This window comes from Homo sapiens, chromosome 11 (genome assembly GCF_000001405.40).
Source record: "Homo sapiens chromosome 11, GRCh38.p14 Primary Assembly".
NCBI lineage: Eukaryota > Metazoa > Chordata > Mammalia > Primates > Hominidae > Homo > Homo sapiens.
This window is the reverse complement of record NC_000011.10, coordinates 3,000,556-3,021,448: the sequence shown is the minus strand read 5'-3', so window position 1 is coordinate 3,021,448 and position 20,893 is coordinate 3,000,556. Positions and strand designations below refer to the sequence as shown.

General features: G+C 54.0%; 1 protein-coding gene across 16 annotated transcripts in view, besides 1 other annotated feature; it reads left to right on the top strand.

The window, feature by feature from the left end:
- Positions 1–20,520, top strand: part of CARS1 (cysteinyl-tRNA synthetase 1) — a 56,495-nt gene extending 35,975 nt beyond the window's left edge. For 5 of the 16 annotated variants that reach the window (NR_036542.2, NM_001751.6, NM_001378137.1 and 2 more), the window contains 13 exons: positions 1,117–1,229; positions 2,182–2,310; positions 2,700–2,829; positions 2,938–3,041; positions 3,495–3,592; positions 4,154–4,343; positions 5,600–5,668; positions 9,173–9,254; positions 14,490–14,570; positions 16,016–16,083; positions 18,849–18,908; positions 19,396–19,479; positions 20,201–20,520. Coding sequence is in view for 12 of the 16 variants with exons in the window: in NM_001751.6 (NP_001742.1) it covers positions 1,117–1,229; positions 2,182–2,310; positions 2,700–2,829; positions 2,938–3,041; positions 3,495–3,592; positions 4,154–4,343; positions 5,600–5,668; positions 9,173–9,254; positions 14,490–14,570; positions 16,016–16,083; positions 18,849–18,908; positions 19,396–19,479; positions 20,201–20,335 (1,343 nt within the window). In the remaining 4 variants the exon portion in view is untranslated. Of the gene's footprint in view, positions 1–1,116; positions 1,230–2,181; positions 2,311–2,699; positions 2,830–2,908; positions 3,042–3,494; positions 3,594–4,153; positions 4,344–5,599; positions 5,669–9,172; positions 9,255–14,489; positions 14,571–16,015; positions 16,084–18,848; positions 18,909–19,274; positions 19,557–20,200 lie in introns of those variants that run through there. The other 11 variants (NM_139273.4, NM_001378138.1, NM_001194997.2 and 8 more) reach the window with 5 other exon arrangements.
- Positions 6,535–7,034: an enhancer, noted in NCBI's record as "H3K4me1 hESC enhancer chr11:3035645-3036144 (GRCh37/hg19 assembly coordinates)". NCBI's record gives its function as "activates a minimal SCP1, AML or CMV promoter by ChIP-STARR-seq in naive H9 embryonic stem cells {active_cell/tissue: H9 hESC(naive)}" and the evidence as "EXISTENCE:reporter gene assay evidence [ECO:0000049][PMID:30033119]".
- Positions 20,521–20,893: the final 373 nt, after the last annotated feature.

Below are 20,893 nucleotides of genomic sequence, written 5' to 3'. Positions count from 1 at the left end.
AGCTTCTTCAGGGTCACCTGAGTTAGAACCCTAGATGGAGTCTGTTCTTCCTCCACAAGGGGGTGACAGCACCTAAGGCAGCCCTTAGACCAGGGACCAGGAAAGGCTGCAGCAGCCGGGCAAGACCTGGCGTGGGTCCTGGTAACCTTATGCCTAGAGTGAAGACCTCTGCTCTGCCCATTCATCGAACAAAGGGTGATTCTCTGCGTGACCTTTGGACTGGCTCACAGGTTTCTTTATTCACAGCAGCTAATCTTTTCCATTGGTCCTGCATGTATTGTTGAGAGAAATCTGCAGTGATGGTGCATTCCTTTTCTGGGGACTCAGACCGCCTTGTACCCTGAGTGTCAGGTGGCTGAGTGTCACCGAGTCAATGCATGGAATTCACCAAGGGGTTATTTCTCATCCCTCTGGCAAGGCATAGACAGTCTTGTTTTTGTTGGCCAGGTGATCATTGGCTTTGTCCAGGAAATAGAACTTGTGCCAAGAGCAGTACTCCCCTTTTCTTATGGCCTTCCTGGACTATTCTTTAGTTTCCTTCACCTATTTTCCCCTTATAAATACACAGGAACAGCAAATGTCCCCTTCACCACTGCACTGCCACCAGGTTCCCTGCAGTAGTACACAGCAGCTTAGCTGCATCCTTGTATCCCCCGGGACCCATAAGCAGATAGTTGTGCGGGCCCTTGACATATTGACCCCACCCGCATGAACCAGGCAGGATCCCTGAGCCATGCCCCAGTGGCTGCACCACTATGTCACCTCCTAGCTTTAGCCCAGGGTTCTTATCACTTGTCCTAGACACTGGTGGGCTAATGCTGTGAGAAGGCAGCAGGAAGGTGAATGTCTTACGGAGACCCCAGATGTGGCCTCAAGTCAGCCAGGTATATAAGCTGGTGACTTTGGGGATTATGTACCGTTTTGTAAATCTAGACACTGGGTCAACACCAGAATCTGGTAATACATAGTTAACTTGAAGAAATGCTTGAGCCAAGTTAATAAACAGAAGTTAGTCAGAAGGACTGCCCATTAGGCACCGTGGATGGCCTTGAAGTGAGACATGTGGGTCTGTGGGTGCTGCTGAGTGACCTTGCCTGGCGTCCCTCGTGTTTGCAGGTGACCTGAGCATCTCTGCAGACCGCCTGAGTGAGAAGCGCTCTCCCAACGACTTTGCCTTATGGAAGGCCTCTAAGCCCGGAGAACCGTCCTGGCCGTGCCCTTGGGGAAAGGTGAGCGAGTGGCCTAGAAGGTGTGGGGCTTGGACAGGGGCACTGGCGCCAGCCACACTCTCAGGCCCCCAGCAGAGGGCCGCTCTGTGTGTGAAGGATGTTGTCACTGGGCCAGAGCCTGGTGCTGGTGCAGCACAGGCTGCCTGGCCCCGGGGACCTGGACATCATGGAGACTCCCTGAGTCTCTGGACAAATCACTTCCCTCCTGGGATTTCTGTTTTCTGGTCTGTAAGTGGAGATGTGATCAGAGTAGACGTCCATGGAGGCTTCTTGGTTCTTGTGTTCTGTGACTCTGAGTATTCCAGGCCCCAGGGTGTAGGATGCGTTCTGATCTTCCCGGTGACAGGAGTTGTTGACTGCAGGGTACCCTAGGAAGGGGCGTGACCATCTGCAGCTGTCAAGGGCTCAGAGGTCTGGATGTAATTCAGTAACTTCACCTAAACCTCGGCCCACATAGGACCGGTTTATGAACTTCACCAAAGAAGGCTATCCTTAGTCTTTTTTTTTTTTTTGAGACAGAGTGTCACTCTGTCACCAGGCTGGAGTGCAGTGGCGCGATCTCAGCTCACTGCAACCTCTGCCTCCTAGTCCCGGTTCAAGCAATTCTCCTGCCTCAGCCTCCTGAGTAGCTGGGATTACAGGCATACGTCACCATGCTCAGCTAATTTTTGTATTTTTTTGTATTTTTAGTAGAGACGGGGTTTCACCATGTTGGCCAGGCTGGTCTTGAACTCCTGACCTGGTGATCCGTCTGCCTCGGCATCGCAAAGTGCTGGGATTACAGGTGTGAGCCATCTCGCCCAGCCTTCCCTTAGTCTTTTCATGTGCGGGATTTAACGCTTGTTCCAATAAAGTTCAGAGGATGTAAGGGCCATCAACTTGGAGTGATAAGTGATAAAGGCCTGGACAAGCGGGTAGGCTGGTCAGTCACTGTGTGTTCGGCTTTCTCCAGGGTCGTCCGGGCTGGCATATCGAGTGCTCGGCCATGGCAGGCACCCTCCTAGGGGCTTCGATGGACATTCACGGAGGTGGGTTCGACCTCCGGTTCCCCCACCATGACAATGAGCTGGCACAGTCGGAGGTAGGTGAAAACAGAGTCCCCTTGTCAGGTGCAAGAGCACAGTGTTCATACTGCAGTGGAGGAAAAGTCAGCCCAGGCCTCAGAAGGGCCTCTCTCACTAGAACTTGACACCTTCATCGGGGCTTGTGGGTGGAATCTGAACCCTGATCATTTAGTGTGGTTTCCGCATTGACAGCCTGGCCTTTGGCAACAGACTAGCCTGGATTTGAACCAGTTGTGTTACCTGCTGGCTTATTAACCTGGGCTGTCCTTCCAAGCCCTGCCTGCACCACCTGGAAAACGCAGCTCCTGCCTGTGGACAGCACCAACAAGGCAGCAGACAGTGCAGGTGGCAGGAGGCGGCCCCAGTAACACATGACTGTTGACATCCTTTGTCTCTTTCCACGCAGGCCTACTTTGAAAACGACTGCTGGGTCAGGTACTTCCTGCACACAGGCCACCTGACCATTGCAGGCTGCAAAATGTCAAAGTCACTAAAAAACTTCATCACCATTAAAGATGCCTTGAAAAAGCACTCAGGTATACACTGGCTTCTCCCACAGACCCCCCAACCACCTTCTCATACATGTGTAATGGCTGTAGCACTCGGGAGAATAAGGGCGTTGGCTGTCTTGTGTCCCCCCACAGCACGGCAGTTGCGGCTGGCCTTCCTCATGCACTCGTGGAAGGACACCCTGGACTACTCCAGCAACACCATGGAGTCAGCGCTTCAATATGAGAAGTTCTTGAATGTGAGTCCCCAGCCCCTTCCTGGAGGTTGGTGGAGCAGCCTCCCCTGCACAGTGGGCACCTTGTGCAGTGGTGATAGGTGCACCAGCCTCCCGATGTCTCTAATGGAGACCAGCACATGGGTGGAAGCACCTCCATGCTAGTGGGTATAACAGGCTCGGGGCCACTCCTGAAATGGCTGACGGCTCAGCAGAGTGGACAGAGGCCTCGTCCTCCTAGTCACTGCAGTGCACGTCCTTCTGACTTGTACTTTCCACCAAATGAGCATCTGTAAACCTAAAGCAAGAGCATGTTTCTGTCAAAGAAATATCTTTTCCTTTCTTTCTGACCACTTGTGTAATTCTGGTCTTTCAGATTTTTACCAAAAATAAAATCACAGCAGTAGAAAGTTGTAACAGATATTTCAGGATGGAAAAGTTGCCTAAATGCTGTTAAACTGATTTTTCTAACTTCAGGAGTTTTTCTTAAATGTGAAAGATATCCTTCGCGCTCCTGTTGACATCACTGGTCAGTTTGAGAAGTGGGGAGAAGAAGAAGCAGAACTGAATAAGAAGTAAGGTGGTGCCATTTCTTTGGGGTTTTTGAGCATGCCCATGTTCTATGCCTAGCCTCGCATCTTGGCCACCATGTGTCCTGGACTGTCGAGGAAGGGCTGGGGACACTGTCGTACGTTGTGCAGAATTAATTCAGGATAGGCGGCTCTGCTAATGGGAGCTGCTCTGGGTGTTGAAGTGCATGGAGAATTTCTTTTTTGTTTTTTCTTTTTGAGACGGAGTTTCGCCCTTGTTGCCCAGGCTGGAGTGCAGTGGCGTGATCTCGGCTCACCACAACCTCCACCTCCCGGGTTCGAGCGATTCTCCTGCCTCAGCCTCCCGAGTAGCTGGGGTTACAGGCATGCGCCACCATACCTGGCTAATTTCAGATTTTTAGTAGAGGTGGGGGTCTCTCCATGTTTGTCAGGCTGGTCTCGAACTCCCGACCTCAGGTGATCCGCCCACCTCAGCCTCCCAAAGTGCTGGGATTATAGGCGTGAGCCACTGCGCCTGGCCACATGGGGAATTTCTATGGTGTGTTTTCAGGTCTGACTTCACATTCCTTCCTCTTTGTTGCTCAGCTTTTATGACAAGAAGACAGCAATTCACAAAGCCCTCTGTGACAATGTTGACACCCGCACCGTCATGGAAGAGATGCGGGCCTTGGTCAGTCAGTGCAACCTCTATATGGCAGCCCGGAAAGCCGTGAGGAAGAGGCCCAACCAGGCTCTGCTGGAGAACATCGCCCTGTACCTCACCCATATGCTGAAGGTAAGCCAGGCCCCAGGCAGGCGTATCCCTCAGCCTGTGTGGACACAGGAGCCAGGCCCCAGGACTGGGAGAACAGAGGCCTCTGGTGCCCCCCAGTGCTGTGCCTGGTGCCCAGCACCTCTGAGACGTGGAGATATGCTTCTGTCCTCTTTGGTTCCTGGTGTGCTTTTCACGCGTTAGAAATAACACCCATAAGCGGAGCACAGTGGCTCACATCTATAATCCAACACTGTGGGAGGCCAGGTGAGTGTATCACCTGAGCCCAGGAGTTCAAAACCAGCCTGGACAACATAGTGAGATCCCGGGTCTATAAAATATATTAAAAATTAGCCAGGTGTGGTGGCACACACCTGTTTTCCAGCTGCTTGGGAGGCTGAGGTGAGGGGCTCGCTTGAGCCCAGGAGGTTGAATAGTGAGGTGTGATTGCACTACTGCACTCCACTCTGGGCAATAGAGGGGAGACCCTGTCTCAAAACCAGACAAAAATAAGTAACATCCATATAGTTGTCCTTACTCAGAGCTATTTCTTTCCTTTGACTCCGTTTCCCTCTACTCCCATCTTGGAGTTTGAAAAGCAAAACCACGCCAGGCGCTGTGGCTCACGCCTGTAATCCCAGCACTTTGGGAGGCCAAGGCGGGCGGATCACAAGGTCAGGAGATGGAGACCATCCTGACTAACACGGTGAAACCCCGTCTCTACTAAAAAAAATACAAAAAACTAGCCAGGCATGGTGGCGGGTTCCTGTAGTTCCAGCTACTCGGGAGGCTGAGGCAGGAGAATGGCATGAACCCAGGAGGCAGAGCTTGCAGTGAGCCAAGATTGCGCCATTGCACTCCAGCCTGGGCGACAGAGTGAGATTCCATCTCAAAAAAAAAAAAAAAAGAGAAGCAAAACCAGGGACAAGGCCTCCTCTCTGAACACATCCTGTGCAGAGCCCTTCCCCGCAGTGCACCTTGAAAGGCCAGCAGGGCCTGGACTCAACTCCCCTCCCCTCTCCTCCTCTTTCCTTGTTGTTGGGCTCCAGTGGCTTCTGGCTGAAACAGAGCTGGAGAGGGTAGCTGTGAGTCAGGGCCATCCTGGAGCAATGAGGGCACCCTCAGGCTCGGGTTTCTGGGGCTCCTGGAGCTGCTGCTTCCATCTCTTTCCTGGTCTTGGGGCACCCCCTCCCGTGAACGAGGAACACAGCTCACAGCTGCTCGCCACATGCCGCCTTCATCTTGCCGCAGCTTCAGGTCCCATCTGTTTCTTTTCCTAGATCTTTGGGGCCGTAGAAGAGGACAGCTCCCTGGGATTCCCGGTCGGAGGGCCTGGAACCAGCCTCAGTGTGAGTAGCATGCAGGGTCCTGCCTTCTGCACCTGCTCCCTCCCCACTCCCTACCCCTCTGTGTCCCTCTGAACTGCCCCTCCTCTGTCTGCCCACCCACACCAGACCCTTCCGGACAGCGCCTCGAGCTAAATGGCAATTCTGGCTCTGAGAGTGCTAAGTGTGGTCAGCTGCCCTGCCGGTGTGGAGGGTCTGCTTTGGTTGTGACTGTTGGTTTGGGGCACTTTGCCATTGTGCTGTCCCATGAGCTTGGTCTTGGACCCCAACTACATAGGCCGCTGCTTATTTGCATTTTGCTGCGGCCACTTGGCATCATGAACACACATGACTTCGTCACATATACTGACCTGTATTCAGTAAATGCTTCATCGAAAGGCTGCAGAGCTCACAAACAGCACAGAATTTACACTGATGGGGAGATACGCCACTGTCTGCCTCGGTCCCCATGGGGCTGGGCAGATGCCCTAACAGGCCCAGTCCTGACCCTGAGCCCAGGTCGGTCCACATGGCCTGAGCCAGGACCCCCTGCCCCAGAGCTGTGGCCCACAGGTCAGGGGGAGGTCATCCTGTAGAGCCCCCTGTCTAGTGGGTCTGTGCGGTGAGAAAATCCATCCAGAACACCCTGGCAGTCTGTTGCTGGCTTCTGTTTGCAGTTGGCATGTGAGCAGACACACACTGTCAGTCCTGTCCTTCTGCTGTAGAACCCCTGTCCCGTCTGACACACCCACAGTCAGGCTTCTTAAAGATGGACTTCCACCTGCTCCCAGGTCAAGAATGCTCTTTGACTATTCGATTAGAATGCAGATCTAAATATTTAAATAGAACAACTGTAATTTTAATTAAAACAGGAGCTTAATACAAAGTCAAAATGCAAAACCTTTTTAAAATCCTGTTTCCTAATGACAAGTGGTGTGAAGAGCCCCCATGCGGATGGAGCTTACAGATGCTCCCCCAGGAACCAACTTGCAAAGAGAAAACAGTCCGTGTTGTAAGAAGTCCTGCCAGAGCACCTAGCCCATGTGCCTGGTGCCTTTTGCCAGCCTTAGCGCTAGCTAGCTTGGTTGTGGTAGTTGGTGTGGTATTTTTGAGACTTCCTGATATGAACCTTCTTTGGTGCTTTTAAGAAAACCCACATAGCTTCTTTGTTCTCTTGCGCAAATGATACTAAGATATTTATTTTCTTTAAAAACAAAAAACCAAAACACACCTCCTGGGTTAAAGTCAGCCTGCCTTTGAACTGCAGTGTTTTTCATCTTAACGGCTGCTGTGGTTGTGGGGGTGCCTTCAGCGTGCTGTGGACACGCATCCGCATCCCCCAGGCAGCCTCATTTGGCCTTTGCAGTCAGCTGATTGCGAAGAAGCAGCTGCGGCGAATGGTGAGCCTGCTGACAAAACGTCCTGTGCCCACACATCATGGCCATTTGACGTTCATGGATTAACTTCCAAATCCAAATGGTTTTAGGAGCAAGGGAGGCAGTTCCTCCATCTTGTACCACCTCAGTGTCGCCACACAGCCACCTGCTAGCATGCTCAGGTGGGGGTTGCAGCCCCAGGCGTTCTTGAGACACACCCCTGCAGCCATTCTGAGAGTTCCCCTCCAGTGCCCCTAGGGCTGGAACTGAGCCTAGCAGTGGGGTGAATGCCTCCCTTTCTGTCCTTCCCCAAGGCTTGTCTGGGCTGGCTGTGTGGTGGGTGGAGATACAGATCGAAAACCCCCAAGAAGTCCAAAGTTCAGATGCAGAATTGGGTCTCAGGGAGCTTGGCTTAGACTTAAGGGCTTGCTAGCCTGCCTGACTTTTGCACTTGCTAAATTTGTGTGTTTCTGTTTTTGAGACAGAGTCTCACTCTGTCGCCCATGCCAGTCCCTGCCCTGTGTCGTGGCCGCTGAGCTATTATTCAGTTATGGATATAGGAGTGTGAGCAGCTCTCAGCGAACAAAAACTCTTCTTTCCACAGCTGGAGTGCAGTAGCGCAATCTCCGGTCACTGCACCCTCTGCCTCCCGAGTTCAAGTGATTCTCCTGCCTCAGCCTCCTGAGTAGCTGGGACTACAGGCATGCACCACCATGCCCGGCTAATTTTTTTTTGTATTTTAGTAGAGACGGGGGTTTCACTATGTTGGCCAGGCTAGTCTTGAACTCCTGACCTCATGATCCACCCACTTCGCCCTCCCAAAGTGCTGGGATTACAGTTGTGAGTCACCGCGCCCAGCCAGCACTTGCTAATGTTTTTATTTTGGTTACTGAGCTGCTGAATCAGCTAAGGGGCAGGGAGCAACCTTGCTCAAAAGCCTAAAACCTTTTCTGTCCTATTAGAAAAAGAGAAATGCTAGCACAGCATGGTGGCTCACGCCTGTAATCCCAGCACTTTGGGAGGCTGAGGTGGGTGAATCACCTGAGGTCGGGAGTTCGAGACCAGCCTGACCAACATGGAGAAACCCTGTCTCTACTAAAAATACAAAATTAGCTGGGCGTAGTGGCGCATGCCTGTAATCCCAGCTACGCGGGAGGCTGAGGCAGGAGAATCGCTTGAACCTGGAAGGTGGAGGTTGCGGTGAGCCGAGATCGCCATTGCATGCCAGTCTGGGCAATGAGAGCAAAACTCCATCTCAAAAAAAAAAAGGGGAAATGCTTTGGGAGGCCAAGGCGGGCAGATCACAAGGTTAGGAGATTGAGACCATCCTGGCCAACAAGGTGAAACCTCATCTCTACTGAAAATACAAAAATTAGCCAGGCGTGGTGGCGCTTGCCTGTAATCCCAGCTACTCGGGAGGCTGAGGCAGGTGAATCGCTTGAACCTGGGAGGCTGAGGTTGCAGTGAGCCGAGATCACACCATTGCACTCCAGCCTGGCAACAGAGCAAGATTCCGTCTTAAAAAAAAAAAAAAAAAAAAAAAAGGGAAATATAGTAGAAAGGTTTTTCTATCCTGTGGCCACCTCCCCAGTGTTACTGTGGGTGGTGAATCTACGTGTAGCTGCTAATGTGCATGTAGATAGTAGGTGCTTAATGGAGATCATTCATCTTAAACAAGTGTATGTGTGACCACAGATCAGACGAAAGCACGGCCCGGGAGCCGCCAGCCTCAGCATAGGTAAGGCCCCAGCCTGGGGAGTGATGTCCTTGGGCTCCTTAGGAAATAGTCCCTCCCAGAGCTGGCCCCTCTGAAACCATAAAGACAAGCTGTTTCACAGCAGCGTGTCTGACCTGAGGAAAGCAGGGCCTGTCAGCAGCTGGGCAGAGCGGCGGCAGACCCACCTGCTGCAGTAGAAAGGAAGCTCACTTCATGCTCTCTGGCCTGAGAGTCTGTGTGACTCGCACACCTAGCAGGGACTGTGTGTCAGGGACGAGAGCGTCCAGGCTCTGGGATGCCGGTCACAGCTGTAGTGTGCACAGCAGCACTGCCCATGCCAGTCCCTGCCCTGTGTCGCGGCCACTGAGCTATTATTCTGTTATGAATATGGGAGTGTGAGCAGCTCTCAGTGAACCAAAACTGTTCTTTCCGCAGCTCGAGGCCACAGTCATGCCCTACCTTCAGGTGTTATCAGAATTCCGAGAAGGAGTGCGGAAGATTGCCCGAGAGCAAAAAGGTGAGGACCAGTTGCTGGAAAGAGTGTGGGAGCCACTCCCCTCACTGGGCTCCCCGGACCGGGCGTCTCCCCCGAGGCACTATGGCGTTCAGGCCGGATCATCCTCTGGGAAGGCTGCCCCGTGCACCACAGGGTGTTGAACGGCATCCCGGGCCTGGACCCACCAGGTGCATTAGTACCACACGCTCCAGTCACCACAGCCCCACATGTCCCTGCAGGGCAGAATCCTCGAGTGAGTGCAGCTGAGTGGGCAGTGGGGACCGAGGATGTGATATGATGGGCCAGGGTTGATTTGCCTCTCCTTCTCTGAGCCGAGGCAGAATGGTGGGTCCTCTGACCAGCCCAGTCACCACCTGCCATTTGGCTCACACTGGGGCTTATTTTTGTTCCTGGTGACCTGGTAGGCTGGGTGCGCTGAGGTGTGGCTCGTTCCTGCTGCCGAGTGGAGCCGAGCTGCAGCTTCCAGGGTTCCCTTTTCTGCTCAGGCATGCCAGATGAATGCTTGAACTTGGGGTTCACACAGTGGCCCCTCACTGTCCATAAGCAGCCATTCCTTCATCTTTTTGTTTGTTTGTTTGTTTGAGATGGAGTCTCACTCTGTCTCCCAGGCTGGAGTGCAGTGGCGCGATCTCGGCTCACTGCAAGCTCCGCCTCCCGGGTTCACGCCATTCTTCTGCCTCAGCCTCCTGAGTAGCTGGGACTACAGGCGCCTGCCACCGCGCCCGGCTAATTTTTTGTATTTTTTTTTTTTTTAGCAGAGATGGGGTTTCACCGTGTTGGCCAGGATGGTCTCGATCTCCTGACCTCGTGATCCACCCGCCTCGGCCTCCCAAAGTGCTGGGAGTACAGGCGTGAGCCACCGCGCCTGGCCATTCCTTCATCTTTTGAAATTTCTGAGATGTGTGTGGTTTAAGACTTAGAAAGTGCTGAATCTGAGCATTCGTTTTGACTGCCAGTTTTAAGAAAGTGTTAAACACAGCAAAAAGCAGCATCAGGCAGGCCTTTGCTTCTTCCTGTGAGTGGTTCTGAATTGGTGAGTAACAGCACAGCTGGGAACACACACTGAGGACTTAGGATGTGCTGGGCCCTGCCCACTGCTTTCTGCACATTGCCTCATTTACCACCATGATCCTCCAAAAGAGGAAAGGAGAGCCCTGGCCGGGTCACACTGACCTCGAGTGCTACTCCATCACCTGCTGTGCTAATTCTCCCTCCCCAGGGGGCCTCTGTGTGGTGGGAAGTCTGACCTAGGATCCACCTGGTCCCCATCTGTGCAGAGCCCATTATGGAGGGTCACAGTGGGGCAGCATCCAGGCAGGGCATGCTGAAGACAGAGCAGACAGAGACCCAGCAAGCCTCTAGGAGAAGCTGCACCTTGAGGAAGGATCAGGAAGCCTGGGTGGGTGGAGGGGCCGAGAGGCGGAGGAGCCGAATCTGGGCCTGTTTCGGGCAGGGGACAGTGGAGCAGGAGGCAGGAGGGCAGGAAAGAGTTTCGGGAGCTCGGGGCTCCACAGGCTGCAGGAGAGTGCAGGACACTGGGTGAGAGGAGAGGCTGGCCGGGCTGCTGGGCTGCTGGGCTGCCACAAGTGCTCTGGAGAGGGGCCTGGGCCTGACTGAGCCCCTAACAGGCAGCGGTGGGCGCACTTGCCCTGACCACATAAGCACCATCGCCCCTTTCCAACACCTGATGCCCTCAGCATTTCAAAGCACTGGAATCAAACTGAACCAAGCCTGGACCAGCCTATTCAGGACCAGCGCAGGGCTCTCCAGCAATCTTGGCAGCACTAACTTAGCGGCATCGCTGGGGTCGTGGGCTTGGGAAGACCATTCCTGGAGGTCGCCTGGGCATTTCCACCTGCCTTCTGGGGGACATCGAAGGCCGAGCCCGGGCCCCAGCTCCCTGGGGTCATACAAGACTGTGCACGTGGCCTTGGCTTCCCTGGCATGCCACAGCCCCGGGAGGGCGCTAAAGGGGGACTGGCCAGGCACAAGCTCCCGCTCGGTGGCACTGACCAGGACAGGACTTGCTCAGGCCTGGAGAGTGGCACCAGCCAGCCAGCATTGGAAGTAGTTCGGTTTTGCTTTCTGTTTGCTTTTCACTTTTGTTTTGTGGCTTGGAGCAGGTAGATGGGTGATGTGGCCCCAGGTTAAGATGGTGGTGATCCCTACCCTGTACATCATCCCATATGTGCCTTGTGAGCCAGAGACCCTGGGGATCCAGGGGCCTCAGACCTTCCGACGGGGCAGCGTGTTAGAGGTGGCTCTGGTGCAATCACCCTGTCTCCCCAGCAGCAGCAAATAGTGACTGTTTTGTTATTCACTGTTAACATCTCATGGCTGGCCAAAGAGAAAGTGAGTGTATAACAAGCTCAGGGGTGGCCCTCAGATCAGCTGGGATCTGCTTGGCCCAGGCCAGATGCTCCACAGACAGACGAAAAAGAAACTGTTTCCCCTGGAAATACCCCCATGGTCCAGTCAGCTAGAGAGCACAGGCCTGGCAAGGAGGGCAATGGGTTCAGGGTTTGACCAGGAGAGAGGCACTGAAGTGAGAAAGCCAGGGGCTGGGCCAGGGCCCTCTGCACTGGGGAGATGATGCCATTTCCCCATCGCCACGGTTTTGTTTTCATTATGTTAAAATACACAGCTCAGTGCCATTAGGGACATTTACAGTGTTGTGCAGCCGCCACCGTCCATCTCCAGAACTCTTCCCTTTTCCCAAACTGGAACTCTGTCCCCATGGAACAGCAACTCCACATCCCCTCCCTCAGCCCCTGGTGCTCACCCTCTACTTCTGTCTCTTTGGATTTTACTACTCCAGGGACCCTACATGAGTGGAGTCACACAGTGTTTGTCCTGTGTCTGGCTTATTTCGCTGATCACGGTGTCCTCAGGTCTATCCATGTTGCAGCCTGTGTCAGGACCTCCTGCCTTTTTAATGGCCAAATCATATTCCATGGATGGATGGGCCCTGATCTGTCTATTCTTCCATGGAAGAATTCTCATCACCTTTGCGTTATCTTTGTAGCCCACATTTCTCTTCAGTAAATCCCTGATGATGATGTCATTGTCTGCTCCTCTGCCCCAGCTCTGCTAACAGAAGCCACAGAGGCTTCTTCCTCAGCTCCTCAGAATCCAGACCCAGAGGTCGGTGTGGGCCTGAGGGGTACGGCGTGTGTCCCTTTCCCCCAGGGAGTGTGGCCCGGGAGGCTTTCTTGGTGCCTGCTCTGATGATCACCCATGGCGGGTGGGCTGGGGTGCTGGCCTTGTGGCCTCCCATGACACCCGTGACAGTGACCACAGGTGCTGGCTTGCCTTCCTTCTAATGAGGGTGCTATCCAGGGGTGGCTTTCAAAGAGTGAAGGGCAGGCACCTACCTCAGCTCATGCCCCAGTCAGCTGCTCCTCAGGTGGCTGAGGAGGGCCTGTTCCCAGGAATGATACTGCAGACAAATATAAAGGCCATTGTTCCCCTAGGTCTCTGCCTGGGGAGGTTGAAACTCCGGAAGCTGCCCAAAGTGGCTGTGCTTATGAGCGCGGCCTTGAAGCCCAAGGATATGCAATTTTTTTTTTTTTTTTTTGAGATGGAGTCTTGCCCTGTCGCTAGGCTGGAGTGCAGTGGTGTCATCTTGGCCCACTGCAACCTCCGACTCCCTGGTTCAAGCGATTCTTCTGCCTCAGCGTCCCAAGTAGCTGGGATTACAGGCACATGCCACCACACCCAGATAGTTTTTGTATTTTTAGTAGAGATGGGGTTTCACCATGTTGGCCAGGATGGTCTCGATCTCCTGACCTTGTGATCCACCCGCCTCAGCCTCCAAAAGTGCTGGGATTACAGTCATGAGCCACCGTGCCTGCCCGGATATGTGAATATTTTATCTAGCAGTGAATGAAGGTGTGGGGTGCCCAGCAAGGAGCTCTAGGGGTCTCAGTTATGAGGACACAGCAGGAAAAGGACAGACGAGAATGGCAGCATGTGCATGGTCAGTGCTGCCCAAAGGCAGGGCAGGCAGGAGGATGGGGTGGGATGGTGGGGGTCCCAGCAGGCTGGGGGGCAGGGCACCTGCCCGCCTAGCACAGTTGGGCGCAGCAAGCTGAGGGGCCAGAAGAAAACTAAAGGGTGTGGTGATTCCAGCAAACCCAAGGTCAGATTTCAGAGCAGAAAGTTGTCACTTGGAGAGCAGCAAGCATCTGTCCTGTTGATGTAGTCTAGGAGATGCTGTCACATCACCTGATACTCTGGAGTCTTTCTGAGATAGGTTGGCATCCCATTTACCCTGTAACACCCAAAACTTCTTATGTCCTGTTCTCTACCTGGGCGTTGTGCGTGGGCTGGGAACGGGAAAACTCGGGCAGAGCAGAGACACAGAGGGGGCGCCTGCTAGAGACTGCGTGAGGAGCCCACTAGGAGAACCGTGGGATGCCGGGCAAGTCTGCACTGCTGCGCTCTGAAGTCAGCCACAGACACATGGGTTTCCAAGCGAAGCTCCCTCCCCATGTGATGGAGGTCACAGTCGCCCTCCCTGTCATGCCTCCTTTCACCCTCCCAGCTGGGTCAGGTCCCCAGTCAGAGGCAGAGGTGAGCACAGTCTTGGGAAGCAACCTGCGGTCCACCCCCACCGCTCAGCCCCGCCTTTACAGCTGCGTGCGCTTCAGCCCTGGGAGGGCTGATTCTCACAGAGCTCGAGCTCCTTGGTGGTCCTGGGACTCAGCTCTCCTGGGTGCCGGTCAGGACCCCCATCGCAGTCCCGTGTGCATTTGGGAACCAAGTCCTTGGGGCTTGAGTGTAAATGGTCCTTCTGTAAGAAAGCTGATTCTGGCACCAACAGAGAGGCTGCCTCAGATGAAGAGTGTTAGCACCCGAAGGGACCCCCAGGCCTGTCCTGACCCTCCCACCCCTGCTGTCGGCCCAACTTGTGTCCCTTTCCTGGAAGAACTGCTTCCGGCGGCCAGTGTGCTATGCTTCCTCCTGGCTCTGCCCTGCACCCCCAGAACAGCCCCTGGGCTTACGGGAGACACTAGTCTCTGGGCTTCTGCAGCCAATCAAGCTGCTGGGCCCTCCCTCCCAAGCACTGGAGGAGGTACTCGTTCTGTGGGCCGGGGCCCCTCCCTCCTGAGCACTGGAGGAGGCACTTGTTCTGTGGGCCACGGCCCCTCCTTCCCCAGCACTGGAGGAGGCACTGGTTGTGTGGGCCCTGGCTCCTCCATGTCTGAGGGAACTGCTCTGCTTCTCCTACAGTCCCTGAGATTCTGCAGCTCAGCGATGCCCTGCGGGACAACATCCTGCCCGAGCTTGGGGTGCGGTTTGAAGACCACGAAGGTGGGTGAGCCCTTGCTGTTTGCTACAAAGTTACCAGGAGCTTGGAGAGGTGTCACAAGGAGAGCTCCCGGGGCTGGGCTGAGGCTCATGCTTCATGATTGCTGATGCAGAATCCCAAAGTGGCAGCCCCATGGGTCCCCCGGCGCCATTCCCACGCTGGCCAGCCTGGCAGGGGCAGGGGAGCACCCCGTAGCTCCTTCCCACTGCTGCGTGTGGTGGTGTCACCTCCCCTGCGCATCATCTCCCCTAGGGGCCTGGCTGCCCGCTGCCCCTGTTGCTACCGCCTTTGAAGCTCTCAGCTGAGGAACCAGCCTGTATCCTGTACACTGTCAACAGATTGCATGCTTGTTCTCCCACTTCGTGGAGGTCTTTTTGTTCCACAGAAAGTTAATTTTTTTGTTTTTTATTTTCAATTTTTATTTATTTGTTTATTGAGACAGAGTTTCGCTCTGTCGCCCAGGCCGGAGTACAGTGGCGCGATCTCGGCTCATTGCAACCTCTGCCTCCCGGGTTCAAGCGATTCTCCTGCCTCAGCCTCCCGAGTAGCTGGGATTACAGACGCCCATCACCACGCTCGGCTAATTTTTGTATCTTTAGTAGAGACGGGGTTTCACTGTGTTGACCAGGCTAGTGTCGAACTCCTGACCTCAAGTAATCTGCCCACCTCGGCCTCCTAAAGTGGCATGAGCCACATGCCCAGCCTTAGTTTCAGTTTTTATGGATACATAATAGTTGTACATATTTATGGGCTATGTGTGATATTTGGATACATGCGTATGAGGTACTATGATCAAATCTAGGTAACTGAGATGTCCATCACCTCAAGCATTTATCATTTCTTTGTGTTACGAACCCTCCAATTCCACTCTTCCACTCTGCCCCTGGTAATTTTAAATCTCAGATGTCATGTCCTATTTTCCTACTCCTGGCTGGCAAGACCTTCCTACCTTCTCGTTACAAAATGTTCTCGCCAGGTGTGGTGGCTCATACCTGTATCCTAGCACTTTGGGAGGCTGAGGTGGGTGGATTACCTGAGCTCAGGAGTTCGAGACCAGCCTAGGCAACATGGTGAAACCCCGTCTCCACTAAAATACAAAACATTAGCTGGGTGTGGGCTCCTTGGGCAGCTGAGACACGAGAATTGCTTGAACCCGATAGGCAAAGGTTGCAGTGAACTGAGATCGTGCCACTGCACTCCAGCCTGGATGACAGAGCAAGACTCTGTCTCAAAAAAAAAAAAAAAAAAATCACACACACACAAACCAAAATGTTCTCCTGTGCTTCACTGCTGCTATGGAGGTTTTTGTTTGTTTTTCTCCTGTGGGCCCTCGCTCTGACTGGGCAGCACCGCATGGTCTGGGCAGGGCAGGGCAGGGCAGGGCTGGCCCCGCAGTGGGGACGGCCCACAGAGCCCAGACTCTTCTCACACGCAGTTTATTTTGCAGGACTGCCCACAGTGGTGAAACTGGTAGACAGAAACACCTTATTAAAAGAGAGAGAAGAAAAGAGACGGGTGAGTAAAGTGAAAATGACTTAAGCGTGATATTTGTTGAAAATGTAAAAACCATTGCGATTATTACATAGTTTACTTTTTAAGCATTGATGTTTACACTTTTATTAAAATCCCAGTATTTATAAATGTCAGAAAGAAAAATTAACTAGTATCTTCTAATGAAGGACCTCTTTTAAAAAGATTATTCCCTCAGTTTAAGTGAAAACCAGTCACTTTTGGCAAACTGTGAAGCTGACTTTTTTTTTTTTTTTTTTTTTTGAGACGGAGTCTCACTCTGTTGCTCAGACTGGAGTGCAGTGGCACGATCTTGGCTCACTGCAACCTCCACTTCCCTGGTTCAAGGGATTCTCCTGCCTCAGCCTCCCAAGTAGCTGGGACTACAGGCACGCACCACTGTGCCCAGCTAATTTTTGTATTTTTTTAGTAGAGATGGGGTTTCACCATGTTGGTCAGGCTGGTCTCAATCTCCTGACCTCGTGATCCACCCACCTTGGCCTCCCAAAGTGCTGGGATTACAGGCTTGAGCCACCACGCCTGGCCCGAAGCTGACATGTTAAGATCCCAGTCCCACCGTGCCCTCACCTGAGTGGCGCGTGTCACTGATGCATCTCCACCTCCTATTCCCAGCATACTCCCCACCTGCACCCCACAACGCCCCCAGGATCAGGGATGGCCCAAGTTCCTCGGTGCCCAATAGGACAGAAGAACAGGAACAAAAACGCAATGTCAGAATCTCTGGGCACAGCGCATGGGGTACCCTGGGATGCAGGCAGCAGGATGAGAGGCACCTGGGCCCCCAGTGCACACCATGGGAGGTGGGCCATGGGGGCTGTTGCCACCAGCAGGTGGGTCCCCAAGAGGCTTAAAGCAGGAGACCACCGTGGAGGGCGAGTTTGGATGCCACAGCTCTCAGGAAGGAGGCTCTGGGAGGAACTGAGGAAGGAGAATCGACAGGGTGGTTGATTGATAGATGGGATGTACAAGGTCAGGGAAGGCATCTATGCCTAGCCCTGCACTGGCCCAAGGCACGAGGGGAGAGCTCATGCCAGATCCAAGTGTGGGTGGCTGGAGTTTGCAGTGCTTTGGAGGAATAACGAACTGGAACTCTGGGGAAAGCTCTAGACAGTGGTGAGTGGTCTGCAGGTCCATCCTGGTTGGCAGGTTGGGAAGAGCTGGGCTTGCCCTGTGAGGTTGGCTGGTGTGACTGCCTCATCAGGGCCCCTCCCCATTCCATCACAGTCACTCACCTAGCCTTGGGTCTCGCCTGCCGTGCTGTGCTGTGAGGTGGCCTGGTGCTGGCTGTGCAGACGCCCTGGCTTGCTGCACTCCCTGGCAGAGTGCTCAGAAGCAGGAAACAGACAAGAGGAGCGCCAGGGTGGCCCGGCCAGAGCCTCACAGGCCTTGCACTCTTTGTGCTGGCCTTTCCACTGGCCACCTTGGCTGTGGCCTGTGACTTCTAGTAGCTCCTGTTTCCCAACCAAGGGACTCTTACCTCACCAAGCTGCTGCAAGAAGGCATCCCCAGGCCCGAGGCACCATGGGGGAGGGGTCCTGCCTCTCCCTGTACCATTCCCACCAGCACATAAACACATACTAACTTTTAAAGGGAAAAAGCAGAAATCCTGAGCACTGTGTCTCTGGTTCCTCCAAGCTCAGTGCCCAGCTCCTCCCCCACCTCAGCCCCTTTCCCTCGGCCAGCCCTGCTCTCCCTCCATCTATCTCGAAAGAGCTCGATCCTGTTGGCCCCAGCCCCATCCTGAGTCTCTGAGACCTTTGTGCCTTCCTGGTTTCTTTTCCCTAGCTCTGTGTGTGGCGCCTCCCCAGGAGACCTTATCTGGTCCTGCGGCTTCTCCACCATCTATCTTGTAGCCGGTGGCCCAAAAACAGTTTGCCCAGCTGCCTACCTGATAGCTCCACTGGGCCAGGAAGCCTCTGATATCTAGGCTGTCCAAAGTAAATGTGATTTTCAACTCCCCAAACTTGTTCCTCCTTCCTGCCATGGAGGGCGTGCCTACCTGATAGCTCCACTGGGCTGGGAAGCATCTGAAACCTAGGCTGTCCAAAGGAAAGGTGAAAATGTGATTTTCAACTCCCCAAACTTGCTCCTTTTCCGTCAGTGGAGGGCATGTCTGTTCGTGCAATGGCTCAGGCCAGAACCTCCCAAAGCAACCGAGGGCTTCCCTCACCGGCACCCAGCCTGCTGGCTCCACTAATAAGCTCTCCCTGCAGCATCAGACTGTCCTCGCCCCTGCCCGGGTGCTGCCTGCTGGTTGGAGTGGGCTCTGGTCTCCTCACCTAGCCCCCAAGGCTGCCCTCCGCCCACCATCCCCATCCTGCCCTGGCGCTCTTGCTCCTTCCCAGGTACCCCAAGACCCACTCAGGATAACCCTCACAGTGCTGTCCTGGTCATTGCCTTACAGATCCTCTCTCCTTGGGCCAGGCTCACCATGCTGGTCCATTTCTTCATGTTAGTGGTGCCTGGATCTTTTAGCATTGGTTCTGTTTGTCTGCCTGCTGCATACCTTTGCATCTAGGGCAGGGCCAGGCACCCAGGGGTGCCGCTGAGGATCCCCAAAGGGAATGGAAGAGGGTCGGTGTGCTGCCCGGCACATGGGCTTGTCTCCCCACAGTGGGGAGGGCCTGGTCAGAGTTCAGCCCTCCATGCCAGGCCCTAGGAGAGGGGCTTGTTTGGCTAGACCTCTCACTCCGAGAGACCCAGCAGCCTGAGGCAGCCCTGTCTCATCTGGCTCTGTATTGACCCTCCAGGTTGAAGAGGAGAAGAGGAAGAAGAAAGAGGAGGCGGCCCGGAGGAAACAGGAACAAGAAGTAATGCATTTTGTTTGGGGGTGAGGGCTCTACTGGGCAGGAGTGCACCCTGACCCCATGCCCTGTGGCTCTCTGTGCCTCCGTGGACCTTAGCCAGGCCCCTGCAGACCCTCACAGAAGGAGCTCCGCTTTCTGCCTCCACCACCCAAGGCCTGCCAGGCCCTTCTCACATGGGGTGCAGGGAAGGCCTGGCCAAGGGGAAGGCTGTGCCATGTGGTCACAAGCTCCAAGACAGCGTTTATAGACTTACTACTATTAGGTTTTCTAGTAAGCTTTCCACTATTCCTGTAGAAATAACATCTGGTTTAATTTTAAATTCCTTGTATGTTCCCTCCACCTTGGCTTTCCCCTTCCCATCTTTCATAGCACTCTGAATCTGAGGGCTTGGAAGCAAGTTGAGGGCTGGAGGTATGAGCAGATGTCGTTCACAGTGCGGAGCCCCAGGTGCTGCTCGGGGGCAGTGACTGTGCCGTGTTGCGTGTTCTAGGCAGCAAAGCTGGCCAAGATGAAGATTCCCCCCAGTGAGATGTTCTTGTCAGAAACCGACAAATACTCCAAGTTTGATGAAAATGTAAGCATGTAAGCATCCTTCTCTTCTATTCAGAACTTGATCAGACCACATTAAAGTGGGAGGACAGGAATTTTCAACCTTGGACAAGCAGATTTTCTGTCTGTAGAAAATTTGGAATCAAATCTGACACCCGCTTTAGGTCCAGGGCCTCCTGGCCCAACTACTGAGCTCCTTCCACAGCCCAGGCAGCTAGGCAAGCCCGTGCCAGGGCCCCCTCCACTGGTGTGGTGAGCTCTGGTCCCTAGCCCTGGGAGTTGTGGCCCCGGGCCAAGATCCACCCAGGCCCTCACAAGCTGGCTGAAGTGCCGTGGCGCAGATAGGCCTCCTACCCCCAGTTTCTTCCTTTGTCATAGCGATTCACAGCCACTGCCTCCAAACCTCTAGGCCCCTCCCTGCTGGCATTTGGATGTGTTTGCTATGTACCTTTGGGCCAGCTGTGTCAGAACTCAGCCATGGGTAGGCTCTGAGGGGCACAGTGCCCCTCACCTTAGGCAGGAAGCACCCCCAGACTCTGGTCGCCCCTCTCCCATTCTTAGCTGCTGGAGCCAGCACTGCCAGATGAGTGTGCTGGCTCCAGAGCAGTGTGGTGACTGAATGTCCAAGCAAGAGGACATGGCTGCATCAGGGAGATAGACACTTTGAGACGGGAGGGCAAAGAAAGGGGAGTTGGGGTTACCCAGGTGCAGAGGAGACCAATAGCCGCTGTGCTCTGGGTTTTCAGGGTCTGCCCACACATGACATGGAGGGCAAAGAGCTCAGCAAAGGGCAAGCCAAGAAGCTGAAGAAGCTCTTCGAGGCTCAGGAGAAGCTCTACAAGGAATATCTGCAGATGGCCCAGAATGGAAGCTTCCAGTGAGGGGGCACAGGACTGACTTTTTAAACCATTGTGGACTAGTGGCTGCTGTCTGCCTCAGTGACAATGTCCCAGCGCTCCTATCATGTTTACAGTCACCCTTGGGTCCTAAATTAAGAGTTGTGTTCATGTAGGTTCGTGTCGTCGTTGGCTCTGAGACATTGATAATAAATTTTTCTCAACAGTGAGACCCTCTCTGTCTTGTTCTGCATGTTCAGCACTTGGCAGGAGGCCTGGTGGCCAGCCAGGGCCGCTTGGTCAGCAGGTCACAACTTAGGTGCTTGGGTCAGTTGAGCTGCTTCAGCTGGCCGAGGAATTTCTCCCCCATGCTGATGGCTATCGGCTAATCTCTGGTGTGTGGGCACATTGGGAGGTATTTGAGTAGGAAAAAGACAGGCTCAGACTGGCAGAGCCTGCTGAGCCCTAGACAAAGGCCGCTCAGTCTGCCCTCGGGTTCTGATGAATAAACACACTGCAGGTTTTCCTAGAGCCGTTCCATACTGGGCAGCAGCACAGCGAGTGGCTCAGCAGGCAGGCCCCTGGCGAGCTGCCCAGAACTGC